Source organism: Homo sapiens, chromosome 11 (assembly GCF_000001405.40).
Source record: "Homo sapiens chromosome 11, GRCh38.p14 Primary Assembly".
Classification (NCBI taxonomy): Eukaryota; Metazoa; Chordata; class Mammalia; order Primates; family Hominidae; genus Homo; species Homo sapiens.
Genome location: NC_000011.10, coordinates 16226001 through 16249213, shown reverse-complemented (window position 1 = coordinate 16249213; position 23213 = coordinate 16226001). Strand labels below are relative to the sequence as shown.

Below are 23213 nucleotides of genomic sequence, written 5' to 3'. Positions count from 1 at the left end.
CCTAACGATGTGATAGAAAAGAAAAACCCATTTTCTGGGGAGAAATTCAAGCCTGCTGCAGAAATTTGCATAAGTAACAAGGAGTCAATTTTTTTTTTCTTTTTCTTTTTTTTTTTTGAGACAGAGCCTCTGTTGCCGAAGCTGGAGTGCAGTGGTGCGATCTTGGCTCACTGCAACCTCTGCCTAGTGGGTTCAAGTGATTTTCCTGCCTCAGCTTCCCGAGTAGCTGGGACTACAGGCATGTGCCACCATGCCCAGCTAATTTTCTTTTTGTATTTTTAGTAGAGATGGGGTTTCACCGTGTTAGCCAGGATTGTCTCAATCTCCTGACCTCATAATCTGCCTTCCTTGGGCTCCCAAAGTGCTGGGATTACAGGCATGAGCCACCGTGCCCAGCTGGAGCCAAGTGTTAGTCACTAAGACAATGGGGAAAATGTCTCCAGAGCATGTCAGAGACCTTCACAGCAGCCCCTCCCATTACAGGCCAAAAGGCCTAGGAGGGAAAAATGGTTCTGTGGGCCAGGCCCAAGGCCCCCCTGCACTGTGTAGCTTTGGGATATGATGCCTTGCATTCCAGATGCTTCAGCTCCTGCTGTGGCTACAAGGGGCAAAAGTACAGCTCAGGCTGTTGCTTCAGAGGGTGCAAGGCCCAAGCCTTGGCAACTTTCACGAGGGGTAGGATCTGAGGGTGCACAGTAGTCAAGAATTGAGGTTTTGGAACCTTTGCCTAGATTTCAGAGGATGTATGGAAACACCAGGATGTCCAGGTAGAAGTTTGCTGCAGAGGTGGAGCTGTCATGGAGAACCTCTGATAGGGCAGTGTGGAAGGAAAATGTGGGATTGGAACCCCTACACAGAGTCCCCACTGGGGCACTGCCTAGTAGAGCTGTGAGAAGAGGGCCACCATTCTCCAGACCCAAAATGGTAGATCCACCGACAGCTTGCACTGTGTGCCTGGTAAAGCCACAGACACTCAATGCCAGCCACTGAAAGCAGCCAGGGGTTGGGCTTTACCTTGCAAAGCCACAGAGGCAGAGTTGTCCAAGGCCATGGAAGCCCACCTTTTGTATCTGCATGACCTGGATGTGAGACATGGAGTCAAAGGAGGTCATTTTGGAACTTTAAGGTTTAATGACTGCCTTATTGGATTTCAGACTTGCGTGGGGCCTGTAACCCCTTTGTTTTGGCCAATTTCTCCCATTTGGAATGGGTGTATTTACCCAATGTCTGTACCCCTATTTTATCTAGGAAGTAACTAACTTGCTTTTGATTTTACAGGCTCATAGGCAGAAGGGTCTTGCCTTGTCTCAGATGAGATTTTGGACTTAGACTTTTGAGTTAATGGTGAAATGAGTTAAGACTTTGGGGACTGTGGGAAGGGCATTGTTGTGTTTTGAAATGTGAGGACATGAAATTTGGGAGGGACCAGGGGCAAAATGATATGGTTTGGCTGTTTCCCCACCCAAATCTCATCTTGAATTGTAGTTCTTATAGTCCCCATGTGTCATGGAAGGGACCTGGTGGGAGGTAATTGTAGGTGGTTTACCCCATGCTATTCTTGTGACAGTAAGTTCTCATAAGATCTGATGGTTTTATAAGGGGCTTCCCACTTTACTCAGTTCTCATTCTTCTCCTTCCTATCACCATGTGAAGATGGACATGTTTGCTTTCCCTTCTGCCATGATTGTAAATTTCCTGAGGCCTCCCCAGCCCTGCAGAACTGTGAGTCAATTAAAGCTGTTTTCTTTATAAATTACCCAGTCTCGGGCAGTTCTTTACAGCAGCATGAGAATGGACTAATACAGAAAGGAAATCAGTATATTGAGATGTCTGCATTTCCATATTTATTGCAGCACTACTCACAATAGCCAAATACGGAGTCAACCTAAGTGTCTATCAACAGATGAATGGATATAAAATGTGGTACATGGCACATATACACAATAAATATTATTCAGCGATAAAAAGGAATAAAATCTTGTTGTTTACAACAACATGGATTCAACAAAAGGATATTACGTTAAGAAAAATAAGCCAGTCACAGAAAGATATTTGTGACATATTCTCACTCATATGTGAGAGCTTAAAAAACAAATGAACTCACGGACATAGATAGTAGAATGATGATTACCAGTAGCTGGGAAGGATAATGGGGAGCAGGGGATAAAATGGGGATAGTTGATGGGTACAAAAATATATATAATGAAAAAGAGCTAGTATTTGGTATCACAGGAGGGTTTCTATAGTTAATGATAATTTGCTATGTATTTAAAAATAACTAGAAGAATAGAACTGGAATGTTTCTAACACAAAGAAATGGCAAATACTTAAGGTGATGGATACCCAAGTTACCTTGATTTGATATTTACACATTGCATGCTTGTATCAAAACATCACATGTACCTGTAAATATATACAACTATTATGTGCCCATAATAATGAAAAATTAAAAATAAATAAATTTGTTAAAAAATATAATCCCTTAGATCCAAGAAGTATAAACACAGGGAAGAATGTATACCAAAGCACATCAAAATCAAATGGCTGGAAACAAATGAAAGAGAGTCTTAGAAGTAGCCAAAGATATGTTATATACAGTGGAGCAAAGATAGAAATGATTCCTCACATCAGAAACAATTCAGTTAGATATCACAATGACATACTTTGAGGTCCTAAAAAAATTGCAACCTACAATTTTATAATTAGAAAAAATATTCACATCTGAAGGTGAAATAAAGACATTAAAGAAAAATAAAAGTTCAGACAATTTATTGCTAGCAGATTTTAATTTTAAAAATTTTAAAAAACTTCTTCAGGCTGAAGAAAATAATACTAGATGGAAACTTAGATTTTAAAAAGTAATGAAGGTTACTGTAAATGGTTACTCTGGAGGCAAATATATGACATTTAATTTCTAATGATTAATTTACTTAAAATATGATTGATTCTATAGAATAAACAATAACCATGTATAATGAGGTTTAAAACATATGGAACTAATACCTATGACAGCAATAATACAAAATAAAGGTGTTTTAAAGTTCCTTACATTGTATTTGAAATGGTATATTATTGAAGGTAGACTGTTGTAAGTTAAAGATGCATATAATAAACCCTGGATCAATCATTTAAATAATGAAATAAAGAGGTATAGTTAATAAACCAACAAAGGAGATAAGTAGAATTCTAAAAAAAATAATAATTAAAAAGCCAAGAAAAGAGGAACAAAGGAACAAAGGACAAATTAAAAATAGCAAGATGGTAGACTTAACAGTTATTACATTAAATCTAAATGGACTAATTATACTAATTTTTAAAAGGCAGAGATTATCAGATTGGATTAACAAAAAACAAGACCCAATTAATATGCTAACTACAAGAGACATAATAAATATAAAGATGTAAATATGTTAAAAGTTTTTTGAAGATGTACCATGAAAACACTAATGATAAGAAGGCTTAAAAGGCTATATTAATATAAAAGTAGACTCCAGGAGAAGGAATATTATCAGAGATAAAGAAGGACATTTCATAATGATTAAAGGTTCAATTAACCAAGAAGACATAATATTTCTGCATATATACATGTATTAATAATAACAGAGCTTTAAAATACATGAAGCAAAATAATGACAGAACTAAAAGAAGAAAAAGACACAGCCACAATCTAATTATTCTTGGTGATTTTAACACACCTCTTTTAGAATATGATAAAACAAGTAGACAGAAAAATCTGTAAGACTGTAGAAGACCTGAACAAAATTATCAACTTAACCTAACTGATGTTGCTAGAACACTACACTAAAAAACATCTGGATAATTATTATTTTCAAGGGAATAAGGAACATCCCCAAGATAAGGCACATGCTGGACTATAAAACAAATCTCAAATGTAAAATGAATGAAACTATAATGGGTATATTTTCTGACATGGAAATGAAGTACAAATCAATAACAATATGAAACATTTTTAAATTCAAATTATTTGGCAATTAAACCACATATTTCTAAATAAACCACTTACCAAAGAAGAAAGAACAAGGAAAATTGTAAAGTATTTTAAACTAAATGATAATGAAAACCCAACCTAACGAAATGTGTGGGATGCAGCTAAAGTAATACTTAGAAGGAAATTTATATCTTTAAATGCTAATATTAAATATAGTCTTAAAAATTGCCTGTAAATTCAAGACAAATTCAATCAGAATTCCAGAAAGTCTTTTCTTTTTTGGTAGGCAAACCAATTCTAAAATTTATCTGAAAATGCAAAGGACCTAGCGTAGCCAAAACAAATTTGAAATAGAAGAACAAATTCTTATTCCACGTGATTTCAAAACTTATTGTAAGGCTGCAACAATGAAGACAGTTTGGTATTATAGTGAGGATAATGAATTGATTAATAGAACAGAAAAGAATTAAGAAATAGATCTACAAACACACACACAAACACACACACACATACACACTCTATACACAGTCATTTGATTTTCAACAGTTAAGACAAGATAACTCATTGGGAAAAAGATAATCTTTTTGAAAAATGTTGCTGGAACAACTGGATATTTATATGAAAGAAAACTGACTTTATCTTTTACCTCATGCCATACATACAAAATAAATTAAAATTGATCATAGACCTAAATATAAAACTAAACTCTAAAGTTTCTAGAAGAAAACATAGGAAAAAAATCTTTGTGATATTGAAAAGACAAAAATTTCATAGAGAGAATCCAGAAAATACTAGTCATTAAAAAATTGATAATCAAATCACATTAAAGTGAAAACTCTAGCTCCTCAAAAGACACCTTGTGAAAACAAAAAGGCATGCTGTAGACTAGGTAAAAATGTTTACATTACATATATTTGAGAGACGACTTCACAACCCAGTGTAAAAATGGGCAAAATATATATGAATGGTCAAAAAGCATATGAAAATATGCTCAATATCTTAGTCATTAAGGAAATACAAATAAAACTACATTAAAATACCACTTCTTATCCTCTGGGTGACAAAATTAAAGTGCTAACACTAAGACATATTGTTGAGGATATGAAACAACTAGAACACTCATACGTTGTTGGTAGAAGTATAAAATGGTGCAACCACTTTGGAAAACCTTTTGGCAGTTTATAAAAATAAAGTCAGGCACATAGCTCCCCAATTTTACAGGAAATTCAATTTTTAAGGGGGAAAAATAGATATATATTCATAAAAAGACTTGTGAATGAATTTGTATATTAGTTTTATTTCTAATACATCTAAACTGAAAACAACCCACATGTCCATAGACAGATGAATAGATACACATTATACACACATTATGTGGTGTGTTCATAAAATGGAAATTAATAAAAAGGACCAGACTACTAATTCATGCTACAACAGGAATGAATCTCAAGAACTTTATGCTGAGTGAATGAATCCATATCCAAAAAAGAATATATTGTATACTTTCATTTTTATGAAATTCAAGAATAGGCAAAATTATTTTATAGTGATAGAAATCATATCAGTGGTTGCCTGAGTCCAGGAGCATGGATGATTGCCTGGAAAGGGAGCATAAGATAACTTTTTAGAAATGTTCTGTATCTTCTTTCGGGAGGGTGGAGCTACATGAGTATATAATTTGTCAAAACTTATTAAATTTATATTTTAAATGGGCGCATTTTATTATATGTAAATTATATATGAATATAGTTAATTAAAAAAACTAGTTTTATAGCTGCTTGACACACAATAGTCTTGATCTTTTTATGTATATCAAGGAATTAGTTTTAGCACTTATTATGTGCAGAGCTCTGGGTTAAGCATTATGGAAAAACACAAAGTGGTATCAGAAACATTCCCTGACCATCAAGAAACTTAATATGTAGTTATCGTATTGTGGTATAAACTTGATCACATAATTAATCAGATGGTGGTAAAAATTGATAAGTACTAGTGGTGGTAGATGTAAAAGGAGTCATGAAATTTAGAGTTAAATTAGTTGATTAATACATGAGAAGAATATAAAAAATACAGTGCCTGACAGATATGTGCTCAGCAAGTGTTAATTATTTTCCTTGAGGGGACGAGAATTTATGTTTGAAGTGATGAATCAAGGCATAATTGAGGAGTTGGCATTTGATGTAGGCACAGTAGAATAGGAGGGTTTTTCGTAAGTCAAAAAGTGGGGAGACATTCAGGTCAGGAGGATGTGGTGATCAAAGAGGGGAAGTGAAAAAGCACAGGTATGTACAGTGGAGATAGGCATGCTTGGTGTACTCATTTGGACAAAAAGAAGAGTTTCAAGTAAATAGAATAATAGGAACTTAATCAGCAGGGTCAAACTATAAAGGGTCCTTAAAACCAAATTGAGGACTATAACCTTGTTTTAAATTGATCTTTTGTGGATTGCCAATATATAAAGTAAAATAGATAAAAATGGATATTTTATCAGTAAAAACATTTTATAATTTAATATTATGGCATTAACTATAAAGTCAATTAATCAGAACAGTGAAGCTGTTTTGAACACGTAACTTTGAAATTAGGGACTGCTGATCTCAGAGGAAAGGTTTTTTTTTTGTTTTTTTTTAATGAGCCTCAGTTTTCACTTAATTTCTGGTGTGTTTTCTTTTGGTTGCATCATGTTGAGAAAGTCCTAATTTATATAGACAAGTTATTGTAAGTAGCAATGCTTTAAACATTTACCTTAAGGTCTTTGTATATCTTTCAATGAAGCAAGAAGTTTGTTTCAAAGCACAGTCACATGTCGCTTCACAATGAGGATACATTCAGAGAAATGCATCCTTAGGCAATTTCATTGTCATGCAAACATCATAGAGGGTACTTACACAAACCTACATGGTATGGCCTAGTACACACCTAGGCTATATAGTATAACCTATTGATCTTAGGCTACAAACCTGTGCAGCATGTTACTGTACTAAACACTGTAGGCAGTTGTAATACAATGATAAATAATTGTGGATCTAAACATAGAAAAGTTACAGTAAATATATGACATTATACTCTTATGCAAGACTACCATTGTATGTGGAGTTTGTCTTTATGCAGCTCATGACTGTATACATAATAAATATTTCAATGTGGTAGTACAAGTTAACTCTTTGGTGGTTTCCAGATGGTTAAAATTTAGAATATAGCACATTCGTGTATGTATGACACTTTTGGTTATGGTTTTCATAATGTTTAGATTTTTTTAAGTTGCAACTTGCAGAAACCCAACTCAAATTAATAGGAATGTATTGGCTTACATTACCAAAAGCCCAGGAATAAAATTCTGTTTTATCTATTTTGGGATGTAAGTATGCTAACATGAGGTAAAGATTTTTTTCTGTATCCATTCTTACTGCTGCTCCTTCTGCTTTTCTTTCTATTTTTGGCTTCATTCACTCTTATTGCAGGCAGGCTCTATCTATGTGCCAGGTGGGATGGTCATGACTGTCCACATGCATATAGCTTCCAACCTGAGCATGAGAGAGCCTTTAGATAGTTCCAGCAAGTAATTCTGATTGGATTGAATTTGTCTTTGTGTGGCAAGGGGGAGCAGTAGAAGGCAAGCAACATAGAACTATGATTGACCACTCTCATCAAGACAACAGCAGTCAGAAATATTTTCCCAAAGAAACCAAAATAAAGAATATAGGACACACTGGATACAGAAATTATTATCTCCACAGAAATTAGAATACAGTTTTAAAAAAGTGAAGTATGTATTTTAAAAAGTAAAAATAAAACAAATAGTTGTAGAACCCAAAAAGCAGGAGCAGAAAATAGGGGATAGAGAAGATGTCACGATGAGTAATATTTTAGCAACATGGACAGCCATAGTTTCTAATGGAATGTTTTTATTCCATTAAAATTGTGGCACATCTGAAGGCCTCCTGGGCAATAAGATACAGTGAAAAACCAAGGCTTCAGCCTGCACATGTACTTCTGATAGATGAAAATAAAACTTACCTTGGAAGGAATTACCTTATGAGTTCAACAGTAATTTTAGGAAACTGTTACCTATTCATTAGTGGATGGTATTCAGAAAAGGAGAGCTTTTAATTCAAACAAAATAAAGCATTATGGAAAAAGAATTGTGGAGGAAAGGAAAACCAGCATAAGTGAGTGTGCATAGGAGAACTGGCAGTTGACCACTATTGGTTTTCATTGCAATATGCAGGATTTTTTGCACCCCTCTCCAAAGAATTAGAGTGTCTTACTTCATATCTGAAGCAAATAATTAGTAATTTTTTTATTTTTCACTTTTGGATACTACATTGTGGGGACAATCAAACCTATGTTCAAATAATGATTTAAATAGTCATGTCAGCAAAACAAGCACTGCACTGTAGTTAGGGCTCTGTCACCAACATTTTGACATTGGCAAGACAGGTGACTTCCTTATCTTGACTCTGTTTTCTCATTTCTGAAATGAGGGTATTGGTCTTTATGATCATTGAAGTCTTTTTTAGTTATAGCAGCAGGCCATAGGTTTCTGAATCATCCGCTGTATGTTTCCCTCTTTTTCTAGATTGGCATTGATAACAGTTGTGCTTTGAAGGAAATTTCAGAAGTTGCTTTTGAACAATTTCTGTTATTGTTATAGGTGTTAGGCAGCCTTGGAAAGCAGATAAAAGAGATAACTCTTACCTGCACCTATAGAACAATGTGACTTTCATTGACGTATGTTAAGTACTGGTTTTAAGGAATGCCTATGAAAAAAATATCTAAGAATTTGGCAGATAAAAATTGTGTATAGAGAGAATATTGTACCGATTATGATGATGTCTGTATGTGTATGTACAGGTTTCAAATGTGGTATGGAGCTTTTTCTTCCTTATGAGCATTCCAAAATCTTGCATCTAACAGTTCTAATTACATTTCCAATAGCTTCCACTGCCACACACACACACACACACACACACACACACACACACACACTATATTATCTAGTAAAGTGGTTTTGGAATTAACATTTTTCCTGGAAGGAATATATCTGATTTAATGACCAAATCGTTTTAAGGCAGCACAACAGAATTTCACAGGAACTAAATCTATTTTTTCACACCGATCATGCATGTTTTACTCAAGCATTGAGTCATTAGCATGTTTATAATGGTTCTAATTTAGCACAACATTTTCTGAATTTTATCCTTGAGTCATTTACAAATTGTTCATATTGAGTAAACAAAGGAAACAGATTGCATTTTATACTTAGTAATTTATCTGAAAGAAGAGGGGAGGGTTAATTGTTTTAAAGTTTTGGTCTGTTTGGGGAAGTGAGCCTGCTTTTTCATTGCTAGGCATAAATGCCATTTCTCATCTTTTTGGTAATGGGGGAGGGGTGTTATGGAGGAGTAAAATGAAAAATTAGGACCAGGACAAGATTGGCCACTCCCAGAGGGGAGTGTGGAGCAAAAGGGGAGCTGGCACGAGATTATCCAAAACAGTTGGTGCATTCCTTAATGATCAAGTGCTTGAGAAGTCCAGCTCCTCCTGGCAGAGCATCTGTGTTGATGTTTATATCATTGCCCTGCTGTATGGGAAAGGCATGCTTTCTCTTGCTGCTTGGCTAAAAATAGGACGGAATATAGTATTGTATGAGATATTTTAAGATAGCAAAAACATTTAAGAGGTTAAAGGTTTGACTTTTGGATCAAAAAAGATCAGTAATATAACTCATGGTGTTACTTGCAGACTGGATTTTATCTAGAGTTTGTTAGTGATTCGTACTCTTGGTTAGGGAAGTTATTCTAGGTTTATTTGGTGTAGTCTGAAAAACCCACTCCGCTGTCTTTCTGTCAGCTTCCCAGCGTGAAGAGCAGGCCTGAAAACAGCCTCTATTTATACTCCCTTGTTCTTATTTGGAAAATCAGTTGTTTCATTGGAGAGAGAGGGAGAGGGGGAGAGAGAGAGAAGAGCATGAGCAGTCGTCAGGGAGTGTGCTTTGTACGTTATAGTGACTTCAAAATAAAACTGGCACATTTTAGTGTCTAATTATTTTTAGTGAGCTTGGAGGGTTTTAATTAAAATTTAAGAGTGCTCTTCAAGCTCTCCAAGTTCCAATTTTATCCCACTGTATTGTGGAGCACTTGCCACTGTGGAAAAATGTACAGTAACTGGCATGTGCAACTCTGTGTTTCCTAATGAAAAATGTGAGATGGATAATCAGTGGGGATATAAATATATTTTGCTGGATTTAATTGTAAACCAAGGTCATGGATACTTTTGATAAGTTATCATTGTTCTTGGGTAAATAGAAAAATTTATTACATTTGAAATTTATGATTCCTATGGTAAAAATAAAAGGAATTGCTTTACTATTTTCTCAAAGTGTTAATAAGCAACAGAAAATCTGCACATAGAGCCAGCAGTAATTGTTCTCCTCACTAAAATATTTTGAAGATATTTTTTATGTTGTTTCTAGTGTTTTAGCATTTCTAAGTTTAAATATCACGAGGTAAAGGGAAAATAAGTGTTTGCTTATAGGTAGATTGTTGTAAAGTGCAATAAAGATTTGTCACATTATCTCTTCCTCTTCCCCATGCTGTAAGTTTAATGACAATTTGTTTATTTATTTTTGATCTATCTGAAATACCTTTATTTTGTACAGTGTGGGAGTTAATACTGCTGCAGGTTTGTCTGACTAGAAGTAATTTAAAATTGTTCCCAAAATATCACCACACAGATTAGGAAATCAATATCTCACATACTCTTTCTTTTCATTTTTCTTACATCATAAAATTAATTACTAAGTTAATTAGCGAAAACATTACTCAGCTGTGATAAAGCATTCTTGACTTACCTGGCCCGAAACCTAAGTACTTAGGAAGCAGAAACATTGCTTTGTAATTTATTATGCATGATATTTTAAAAACAAAATAGTTCTGAATTCTATCTTCCTTTTCTCTCAAATTTCTTGAAAGAGAAAAGCTTTAATTTGAAAAGGGAAAGAAAAAACCAGAAACAATGCAACTGATAATTTATAATACATCAAAACGTTTACATCCTTGCTTAAATTATAGGTGAGAACTGAAGTCCAGCTCGCGATTTTTGATAGTACTCTTTTAATCATTATTATTTATAAAAATTAGAGAAGATAAAGTCCTGCATTTCATTGAATAAATATTGGTTAATGGAAACAGATTCTTTCAAAGTAAGAGGAATTAATTTTGGCATTTTCTATTTCAATACGACTTTAGCATAATGCTACTTTAGCATTATGACTTACGTTCATTTTTTAAAAATATGTACATATTATGGTGACATTTTTCATGCTGTAATGTTGTGATTCTTTATTTCCATTTCCAAAAAGCATATATTTTCTCTCCTGTTTTTCAGATGATGACAACTTAAAGACATTAAACTTGGAAAAGTCAAAGTCAGATAATAAATTTACTGCATATTGTTTAATTGTTTTGAGGATGGTGGCAGCATTGTAACTAATTAGTTAATTGTTTTCAAATTAATTTGTAAAATATATTTATGTTTATAAAATAATCCAAGAGTGTCTTGGGGCTGTTCAGTCCTTTTTTTCCATTTGGAATCTTACATGATTACTGTGTTAAAGCCACTCAGTGTGATCTTATTCTTTCCATGTACATAATGCAAACAGGCCTTCTTTGCTTATTTTTACCACTTTGATTTTTGCATTTATGCTTGATCAGAATAGGTCAAAGTCTGATCTGATCAATTGCCTCTGTAATACTAATGTCCCATTAATGTAGTTGAGGAATGTGGCACAAAGGGAATGGATCCTTACTTTTAATTTGTACCCATACCTGGATATTGTTTTGAGATAGAAATTTGAAAACATAAATTTTATTTGTAACTTTGTATCAATTACATATTTTCTCATTTCAAATCAGGAACCTTTTGGTGGTAGCAGTAGTGTCTTCTGCTTATAGAGTGCTTAGTAACAATTCACTTCTGAGAAAAAATATCATCCTACTTACTTTATATTATTACGTGGAGAATGCTTAGCACCAATTGTGGTATGCCTCTAGAGGTTTGGCAGTCAGATAATGGGGTAGAAAGCAGTCATTTGTCAAGAGACTTTCTTACAGGTTCGAGTCTTCCTGGAATCTCCTAGTCCTGAGATTAAACATTGATAAGCTTGTATGTACTAACTTTCATTGTCCTATAGATAAAGGCAATCAGTGGTTGCTATTAAATATTTTCATGGCTGAAAATGTAGATATGCAAAGGCTGCTTTATTTTTTCCCTCAATTTCTTCTACTGAAATGGGAACTCATATAGCTAGATTAACTGAGCATTGCAGTAAGGATTAATTTTCTAATAGGAATGCGAAACGCTTTGAAGTTATTAGCCATTTTATTAATGAGTAGCTTTTATATAAAGCTGTGTCCACATGGTTTAAGTGTGTATTCCTGTTGTTCATATAGCTCTCTTTTTCTCCCATGAAGTTTTAGCATTCTTTTCTTGGAGCTCTAAAAGATTTCAGGTCTATTTATAGAAATGAGAGACATATTTTAGCCTGTTTTACATCCTAAAATGCATTTAATCCTAGTATATGGACTTGCTCTGAATTTGTTATTATTACAAATAAATTGGGCTTTTATCTTTGACTACTATACTATATGCTCTCAACTCAAACTTTAGCTAAAAAAGTTATGCTTTTGTAATTGTATCAGTAATTATTAGCTTAGTGCACTGATATAACATATGAAAGGCTAAAAAAAACAGAATTGGGTAGGATATTAAAATAAAAACTTTTTGTTGACTATTCTTATCCATACTCTAACGTTATATCAATCTCTTTCAGAAATTCAAACCTGATTTGAGAAAAAGCAATCTGTGACAGGCATGGATTTGAAGAATTGCTTCCTAACTCTTAACTTAGTATTATCATTTTTATGACTTTAGCATAAAAACAAAATAAGTATAGAACAAAATATATATCTCATTTCTGAATTTGAATAAAAAATAGTAAGAGGCTATTTAAGCAATTAAATGCAACCCGAACATATGCATCTGCATGTAGGCTCCATTGGAACATCACTCAGAATCCAATTTTGAAGCACAGTAGTAGATCATTTGTTGAAGACTGAGAAAATAATAGGAAATAATGGAATAAAGAAAGAAGGAAGGTAGGAAGGAAGGAAAACGGGAGGGAAGAAGTAAGGGAATGGGCAAGGAGCTTTCATTTAATAAAATCAAGCTGACTTCTATTTAGAAAGAACTTCAGCTCTGTGATAGCCAGTTCGGATGGTTGTTCTTCATCAGCCGTTTTTACAACACACTGATCTGGATTCTATCCCTTCCTTGATTGATTGATAGTGTCACAGACAAATGTTAATTGTTTTTTCACCAATACTTTCTAACCATGCAGTGGTCTTCTCATCTCTTAGCCAGGGCTCATGGTCTTTTTCTGAAGCTTATCTAGCTTCTAAAGCCCTTTAGATCCATCTTGACCTTACTGTCATTCTGAAAAATTCAAGGAGGATTTAGAAGCTGGAGAAAATAAAAAATGAAAGGGAAAATACTAAAGAGATAGGTGCTGATACGAGAGAGAAAAGGCATTTAGAATTGGAGTAACTGTTTTAAATATAATTTTAAAAGGAAGTTATCAGAATTTTGACACTTGGAATGTTAAAGTTTTATGGGAGTATGCTTTGCACTAAGGATTTAGTATTTAAATCTGCATTCCCTTTTGGAAACATGACCTATTTGTTAAGATTTGAGGCTTAAAAGATACAAATAAATAGTGGTAAGCAGTAGCACCAGTTGCAAATCCATTTGCATAGAGAGCAGAAATAACTCATTGAGAAAAATTTGGTAATTATCAAGACATTCTAAAGTTTGGATTTCTGTAGTCTTTATGAATCTTGATAAAAACAAGTGTAATTACTCCCTGTATTTTAGTATGCTATTTAGAAATACAGTGGGGCAAATAATAAATGGCATTTATATAGGTATTTATTTAATAAAAATATGTATCAGTTTTTACATAAGAGAAAAATTTTAGCAGTTTTATTACTAGGGGTCAGAGAACATCTTAATTTCATTTTCTTCTTGTTTTGCTTTAATTGGATATTTTATAAAAGTTAGATTTCTTTTTTAAGAACTAAGTGGTTACAGATTGATTGGGCTCTTCTCTCTTGATTATCTGTTATTGTTTCTTGCACAGCACATACATTTTGCTTGGACTTAAAAAATATTGCCTGGATTAAAAGGAGTATCTAATGTTAAACTAATAGGAAAGAGCCCTCTTTTCTGTACTATCAGTCTAAGAAATGACAAATGCTGATTGAATATTAATAGAATTATAATACTAAAACAGATTATTGAGCATTATCTTTTTTCTCTTAGATGATAGTTTAAATAATTATCTGGTAAAAATAAACTTTGTGGTGGTATTTTATAATACACATTATAGAATAATGTAATTTTCTATATCCTGGGGTTCAAGCTACAGCAACAAAAACAGCTTTATGCATTCTTAAATGAGAATTTCCCCATAAACTGACTTTCTAAATTTGTAATAAATATATATTTTTAATACTTACTTTTGTATTTTAATAGATTCCTCCTGCATGGAAAAACTACTTTCAAAAGATTGGAAGGAAAAAATGGAAAGACTAAATACCAGTGAACTTCTTGGAGAAATTAAAGGTACAACATAAAATATATCGAACATGTCAATGCAGTGATGTGATGTTATTTTGTATAACAATGTATTTGCTGATCTTCTGTACTGTAACAGTAAATCTTACATGTAACATTTGATTGTACATGAGAGGGTGAATATTATAGGTTTCTGAGCTTTTATTCCTTGCAATGTTTACAAACTGAAAAATTTCCCCACTTTTTGTATTAGTCTATAAACATATAACTTATAGGATATGCTGCCTCATTAATTTACTTCACAAAAAAGTATAAAAACCTTATGTTAAAAGATGAGCAAATTAAGCTAAAGATAGTCTTAGTTTTCCCTCTTAAAATTATAATAATAGCTTAATTTATGAATCCAAATTATTTTGAATTTCTTCTAATCAAAATGGGTTGCCTGTAGCACCTTTAAAAATGTTTATAGAATGTGCTGTACATAATGGTTTATTGGGGGATTCTGAAGCTTGTTTACGTTGGTTCAAATCCTGGCTCTGTCACTGGACAGAGTAACTTTGGACAAGCCACTGAAGTTTTCTTTTTTTCTTTTTCTTTCTTTTCTTTTCTTTTTTTTTTTTTTTTGAGATGCAGTCTCACTCTGTTGCCAGGCTGGAGTGCAGTGGCGTGATCTCAGCTCACTGCAACCTCTGCCTCCCAGGTTCAAGCGATTCTCCTGCCTCAGCCCCCTGAGTAGCTGGGCCTATAGGCGTGCACCACCACGCCCAGTTAATTTTTGTATTTTTAGTGGAGAGGGGTTTCACCAGGCTGACCAGGATGTTCTTGATCTCTTGACCTCGTGATCTGCCTGTCTTGGCCTCCCAAATTGCTAGGATTACAGGTGTGAGTCACCGCACCGGGCCTGTTTTATGTTTTATAATCCTCATCTATAAAATGAGGATAATACAAGTATTTCCTTCATAGGCTCATTAAGAAGTTAATACATGTATAGTTCTTAGAACAGTACCTGGCACTTAAGAAAGTACTCATGAGTTTAAGTTTGGTGGTTATTATTAATATACACAGACGATCCCATGTTGATAAAGCTCAAATTTCATCAGGTTTAGCATTTTGTGGTCTCTGACTCAGATGAGAATAAACATCTTTACTTTTGAATATACGTGATTGATATTATTATTTTTAGACATGTTAAGAAGTGGACTATCCCAATCCATTCAGATAGTAAGTTACCTTATCAGTTGAGAGTTATACTTTTTGCCTACTAACCAAACTCTTGCTGATTCATTTATGGAGAAGAAGTGCTGTATTATTATTATTTTTGCATTATGAATGAAATTCATGATCACGCATCAACTTTGTCAATCCTTACGGACAGTCATCACTGTGATTTGCACTAACAATTTGGGTACTTAGTTACATTAGTTTTCTGAATTTATCCAACAACTTTAGGTGAATCTTCCTATTGGTCATGGATAATATCTGAGTTAAGATGAAAATTTGATAATAATTATCTAATGTAAATGTTATTTTGAATTTACTACAGAAAATTTCCTAGTTTTCAGGCATGTCATGTTCAATTCAAGTGAAGAGAAAAGGAAGTCATCTTTTTTCCCAGCAAATAATTAATAAATCATTGCATTAACTAATTATGTATCGAAACCAGTGGAAATTGGATATTATTTTGAGTTCCCCTACTTCTGTTTTGTACCCATAAAGGCCATTTGCTGTCTTGGAAAAAAAAAGAAACTCAACTTATTGATGGATACAAAGAAAGTCATTAGTGACATATTCTCTATCCAGCTGCAATAACATGGTGTTTGCTACTTTGCACGTCATTCTGTGTTTTCTTCCCTTTCCAAAGTCATTCCTTTTTATAACAGTGAGAACAGAAATGGTTTGTACAAAGGCAAGCTTTTTCCAGCATGAAAGATGAGGGTCCTGCTTTCTCTTAGTAATGTGAAAACTAACATTTTATTATGTTATAATTCAACATGGAGTTTTTGTACTTCAGGGTATATTTTCTCCCCCCCTTTCCGTCTTTCTTTATATTTAAGTCTAATTTTGAATTCAAAATTTAAAAAATGTGCTAGTCTTGGATACTTGGAATGTATAAATCACAAAAGTGAATCACATGAAAAATTAGCCTTTTCAAATTCTTTAACCTTTTTTTCTGGATTCTTTGTGATATGTGAACTTTCATTTGTGTGTTATTCTGAGTTTCTTATGGGCATAAAATATAAGATTCTTACTAAATTTATCTTTATTTATTCTCCATTATCATCTCTTCATACATCCTAATATCTTTTACAGAAAATGTACCAAGAATATATTAATTTAAAAATGAAAAAATCAGTTAAAATAGTATTGAAATAGTTTGAGTAAACTGCTACCAAAACTCAACATACATTTTTATTCTGGTGGAAACCAGGCCAGTTATTATCCACCTAAATTACTTCTCATTTTCCTGAAATTTTAAGGTGACCTAAATTATATCTTTGAGGAATACATACAATCATGGGTTATCAGTATTTAATATTATATCTCAAGCATTGTGTATTTTTGATAGCTCTTATATTTTTCTGATTATAAAATTCATATGTATTTATCTGTAAGAAACATACAAAAAAACAAAAAGGTAGTGAAATTATCTTTTAATTCTACTTGTATCTTATTGTATATTCTTTCCATTTTAAATTATGCATACTTATGTTAATTTTCCCCACAAAATTAGAATCATCCCATTATAATTTTTTTGTAATCTATTTTCCCCACTTAATGATATATTATGAATTTTCCTGAGATTGAGTTATCTTCTAAAATATTATTTTTGTTGGCAGAAAGTATTGCATAAAATGAGGTTTTCATAATGTAACTGGGCCTTTTCTTCAACATTTAAGTTGTTTTTATTGTTTGTTGGTTTAAAGAGCACCTATTTTGAAAACAGAAAACATTTTTATTAAGACTTATCAACTTATTAGTGGTTATTTAGGTTATATTCTTGAAAGTGAAATTCCTGGGCCAAAGAGTTTGTTCTTTTTAAAAAGACTTTTGATTCATATTGCCAGTTACCCTTCAGGAAGAGTGTAGTATTTTGTGCTCTCACCAGTAATATCTGCAGGTTTTTATTCTCTTGCCCTGAATAACAAGTATTATTAATTTAAAAATTTCTTGCCATTTTTATAGGGGAAAAAACATATCATTGTTGATTTAATGAGTTTTTTGACTATTAGTGAGAATGAGGTGTTATATCTACATTAATTTGCAATTAAATATCTCTTCCTTTGTGAACTGCATATGTATGTTGGTTGCCCATTTTTTCTTTAAAAGACTTGTCCAGTTCTCAGTGTTTTCTAAGAACTCTTAATATATGTTTGAATAGTATTAAACTTTATTTGTGATATATGTTGCATTTTGTCATTTGCTTTATTTTCTGGTTTTGCTGTCAATCTTTCCATCCCTTCTTTAATGCTTTTTTCTATAGGGGGTTTGTTTAGAAAGGCTTCTTCATCCTGAAATTGAACAATATTCTGCTATATTTTCATCCAATTAGTTGGCTATATTTTTAAACACTTACCTATATAATACATCTTAAATATGTTTTGATGAATAATGTCAACTAGAAATATAACTTAATTTTATTCTCAAGCAGTTAACCAAATATCTATACTGTTTATTAAATAATCCATCTTACCTCCTCTGACTTGAAATGGCATCTTTTATTACACTCTGATTACATATTTGGAACCATTTATCAGATTTTGGTTCTATTCCATTGATTTTTCCATCTAAACTTTTATTAGTACTATGCTATATTAATCACTGTAACTTTAGTATCCTTCAAAAGTAAGTATTGCAAGACTACACTCATAATTTTTCTTTAAGGTGCTTCCATACTTCTTTAAAGTTTATCTTTAATTTATTTTATCAAGTTGTTAATTAAAATTCCAAAGTGATTTTTTAAAAGATTATATTACATTTATATGAAAGGGTAGGATGAACTGACATCTTTATACTATTGAATTGCTCCATTCAAAGTCATTTATTCAGTTATTTTATGTCTCTCAATAATTCTGCACATTTGCACATTTCCTTTGATGTTTTCTTAGTATTTAATATTTTTGCTTACTCTTGTGAATGAGATATTTTTCATTCTATTTTCCTTTTGTTATATTTAGGGATGCTATTGAATTTTGCTGGTTAATTTTGTAACTTGCCTCTATTGACTTTTAGGTGTAGTCATATTTCAATAGATATGTTTTCTCTTCCTTTTTGGTAGTTATATGTCTCTTTGCTACCCAACTCCCACCCACCCTTCATACGTTCATTGCCTTGAATGCCAAGAATAATATTAAGTAATAGAGAAGTAATACAGATATTTCAGTGTAATTTTTAATTTATGGAATTGTTTTTAATATTTCATATTAAATATTCTATTGACTTGATTAAAATATCCTTTTTCATTTAAAGATATTGTTCTAGTCTACTAGGAGTTTGGTCTATTAAAATAACTTGCATTTTATTTCATGGAATATCTTATTAGGTTTTGTTTTTCAAATTTGTCATTGAAATAAACCCTGATTAGTCGTGGTATAGTCTTGTTTAAATGTACTGCATCATTTTATTTGCTCATATTATAGTTGTTATAGTTATTTTTACAACTGTAATTATAAATTGATTAGAGTTTTCCATGTTTATATTACTTTTGTTAATTTTTTAGTAGCAGTGTTCATAGTTGAATTGAAAAACTTTTCCTCTTTTTCTTGGTTATGTAAAATGTTGAATAAATAACATGAACTACTTATTCCTTGAAATTCTGAAAAATATTCTCATAAAACATCTAGGCCTAGAATTTTCTTTGGAGATTTCTTTTTAACATTTTCTACTTTTCTTTTAAGTCAGTTTTGCCATAAAATAGTTTTCCTAATTAATTTTTAAAGAGAAGAAAACTCTTACAGAATTGTATATCTCATGAGATTTTCAAATCTCATTGACTTCATATACATATTTTATTTTTAGTTCTTCCATTTATTTGCTGTTATAGATCCCATATTTAATTTTGCATATTTGTTTTCTCTTTTTTGTTCTTCAATTTTACTTGCTAGTGGTTTTTCTATTTATTGCTCTACCTCCCCCAATAATCCAGTTTTTGGATTTGTCAATTCTGCTGCTTTTCAATATGCCTATTAATTCATTTTGCTTTTACCCTTATTATCTCTCCTTTCCTGTTATTCTTATGCCTTTTCTTTTGTTTGTTTTTTGGTATCTTTTAACTTGAATACTTCACTTAACAAATTTTTATTTAATGATAATGGTACTTTTGGCTATGAATATATTTCTAGAAATAGCTTTATTCATCCCATAAGTTTGTGCTTTTAGAACTCTGTCATTATTTTCTAAATATTCAACATTTATATTATTTTCTAGCTGATCTGTGTTTATATATCATTCTTAACTGCACATATTCTCTTAGAGTCCTAGAGTGTAATGAAGCTGGGAAAGGGAGAGAACTCAGCCTTTATCACTGCCATTGGAAAATTCTATGTGATGGGTAGGTGCTAGGAGAGTCAAGTGTGAGCAGTAGAATGGATAAGGGCAATGATTCTTCAACTCAGGGAGCTTAATATTTTTACATATTTAAGAAATAATAGATTATTATTTTCCCTTTTAGATTTTACTTAAAAAACCAGTGGTTTCTCATAAAATTTTATATCTGATTAACGTAAAGCAATGTTTCTAAAACTCCTTGATAGGAGTTGGAAGACTGCTAAAATCTGAGAAACACTGAATCATAGAAATTTGTATGAGTATGTACCTGAGTCATGCCTAATATTCTTTTTTTATTGTCTATATGTAAGGTGGACAGCATGAAGTTTTGATATACATACATACAGTGAAATGATTACTAGTCAAGCAAATTAACATATGCATCACCTCACATAGTTACCTTGTTCTGTGTGTGTGGTAAAAGCACCTAAAATATACTCTCCTAGCAGATTTACAGCATGCAGCACAATATTATCAACTTCAGTTTTTATGTTGTAGAGTAGAGCTATAGACTTATTCATCCTACATACCTGCAACTTTGTACCCTTTGACCTACATCTCCCTATTCCTCTCTCTCTCCTACCCCTGTTAACCACCATTCATAATATTCTTAAATAGAAAATCTCTCCTTAACTCCCTACCATTTTTTCATATGTAGCCTCCTTTCTAGCATTACTGAGGATAGAATGCTATAATTGGCATAAATTTAATAGTAGTCATCTAAAATCAGGATTCAAACCAAGTTAATATTATTACAATTATTACAAAATAACTTTATTATTAAAACTTTAAATGAAATACAGAATAAAATGTTTACACTTTTACTTTGGCCTGGGTGCATCTGAAGTGTTGTGTCCCAGTTGGGGTCTCATTTTTTTTTTTTCTTTTGAGATGGGGTCTTGTTCTGTCGCCTAGGCAGGAGTGCATTGGTGCAGTCTCGGCTCACTGCAACCTCTGCCTCCCGGGTTCAAGCGATTCTCCTGCCTTAGCCTCCTGAGTAGCTGGGATTACAGGCATGTGCCACCACGCCTGGCTAGTTTTTGTATTTTTAGTAGAGACAGGGTTTCACCATGTTGGTGAGACTGGACTTGAACTCATGACCTCAGCTGATCCGCCTGCCTTGGCCTCCCAAAGTGCTGGAATTACAGGCATGAGCCACTGCACCCGGCCTGGGTCTCATATTTTTAAGAGATCTATTGTTACATTAGTATTTATCAGAATGACTAGAATAGTAAAGAGTTCTGAACATTTAGTGTGAATAGTAATTAAAGACCTAGGGAAGTTTGGCCTAATACATATTATTTGACTTGAAGTTTTATTGGATAGAAGAGGATAATATGTGTTTTCTGCTGTTTTAGGGGGTTAAGGTAATAGGGAACTTGTTCTTAATAAAAAATGGAAATTAAGAACTTATAGCTGTGACATTGATAAGATTGGACTGCATTAGTAGAGAGTGCCTCAAGTATAAGTAGATGTTCAATAAATATTTGTTGAATGAGTTGGGCCTGGTGAGGCGCACCTTTAGTCCCAGTTACTCAGAAGGTCAAGGCAGGAAGATCGCTTGACCCCAGGAGGTTGAGACTGTGATTGCACCACTACATTCCAGTCTGGGTAACAGAGTGAGACCCTGTCTTGAAAAAAAAAACATTAAAAATTCAGAAATAATAAATATTTGTTGAACGAATGAATCAATGAATTAAAGGATGAATTAATAAAATAAATGAAAATTGGGTTCTGGAAAATTTTAAGCAGAGATGTTGTACAGGGTATCCCCATGCTGGTGGAATGTTATCTTCATGATCTCCTAAGGTTCCTTTCAAATTAATACTACAGTTATTATACTTTCTTAATTAGAAGACTGACTTTCAAAATATGTTCTGTTTCCTGTCAATAAATAATTTGGTAAGTAACTTTTGTAAGACATCTTATTGTTTACAAAGTAAACATCTAACATTATTTTATTTGAGACATATAACAATCCAGTGTGGAAAATATTATTATACTGATTTTATATATGAGTAAAATGAGACTGAGGGAATTAGGTATCTTGTTCAGGGTCGCTCAGAAAGTTGTGAAAGTAGGGTTTGAATCTTGGTCTCTGAATACTCTGCTTAATACAATACAAAGTAGTTATTCTTTAAAGACTTTGAATTCTGCAGTGGGAGCAAGAAAAAGATAGATTATGGGCTGTTCCTCCCTCCCGCAACCCACAAACAACTAAAATAACTCCACTTTTACCCTTTTCTATGTAAATTAGGCAGTATGGCAAACCAGGAGTGATATAGATAATACAGTTCTCCATGTAGTAGTATTTATCTTGATCTTTACCTGAATGAGAGACAGGGGTGAAGAAATATGGTGGAAGGATACAGGGTAAGACAGAACTACTGGTAGGGCCCATAACCCATCTGTATCTATGTTTGAGTTATACTAAAGGAATGAAGATGCCATAGTTATTTATGAGATATTTCTAAATGCAATGGTGACATACTACATGATGTCTAGAGCATGAGGATTCATTCTCTGTCTCCCTGAGTGGGTCTAACCTTCATGGCTGAGATCATCTTAGTCAGCCTGCCTGTTTTGCACACATGCTCCTCTGTGCTGTGTCGGGCATTTCCTCCTTAGTGTGAAGGTGCCTCCCTGGGCAATGTGCCAGGGACACAGTAATGTTGGTTGTTTGAGTTAGCACAAACTGTTTGTGCTTGTGTTTGACAAACACACAGAAGATAAGAGAGAAAAAAAAAACAAAAACAAAAACAAAAAAAACACAATTATGTGATAGCAACCAAATAAGGAAAATCGTGTTTTCTTTCCTTGGTCATTTACGATTAATTATTTCAATATTTACATTTAGGGATCAAGGTAGATGTTCTTGTAGGTATACTCTTCTTTAGCTTAGAAAAATAACAGTCTCTTCTGACAGAAAAAAAAATTGACTAAACAGATACTTTTTGATGGAAAATTCTACAAATGATTCCCAATGTTTTTCAAAGGCACTGTTGAAAACTGTTACTTATTACAGTTACTCAACTAATATGTCTGAAAAGTTTGGTTATAGAACCTAAATACTATCATTATAGTT

At 32.9% G+C, this 23213-nt stretch overlaps 1 protein-coding gene across 6 annotated transcripts in view; it reads left to right on the top strand.

The window, feature by feature from the left end:
- SOX6 (SRY-box transcription factor 6) overlaps positions 1-23213 on the top strand; it is a 772029-nt gene that overhangs the window by 489264 nt on the left and 259552 nt on the right. For all 6 annotated transcript variants that reach the window (NM_001367872.1, NM_033326.3, NM_001145811.2 and 3 more), the window contains one exon: positions 14543-14632. In NM_001367872.1, coding sequence (NP_001354801.1) covers positions 14543-14632 — 90 coding nt within the window. The remainder of the gene's footprint in view (positions 1-14542; positions 14633-23213) is intronic.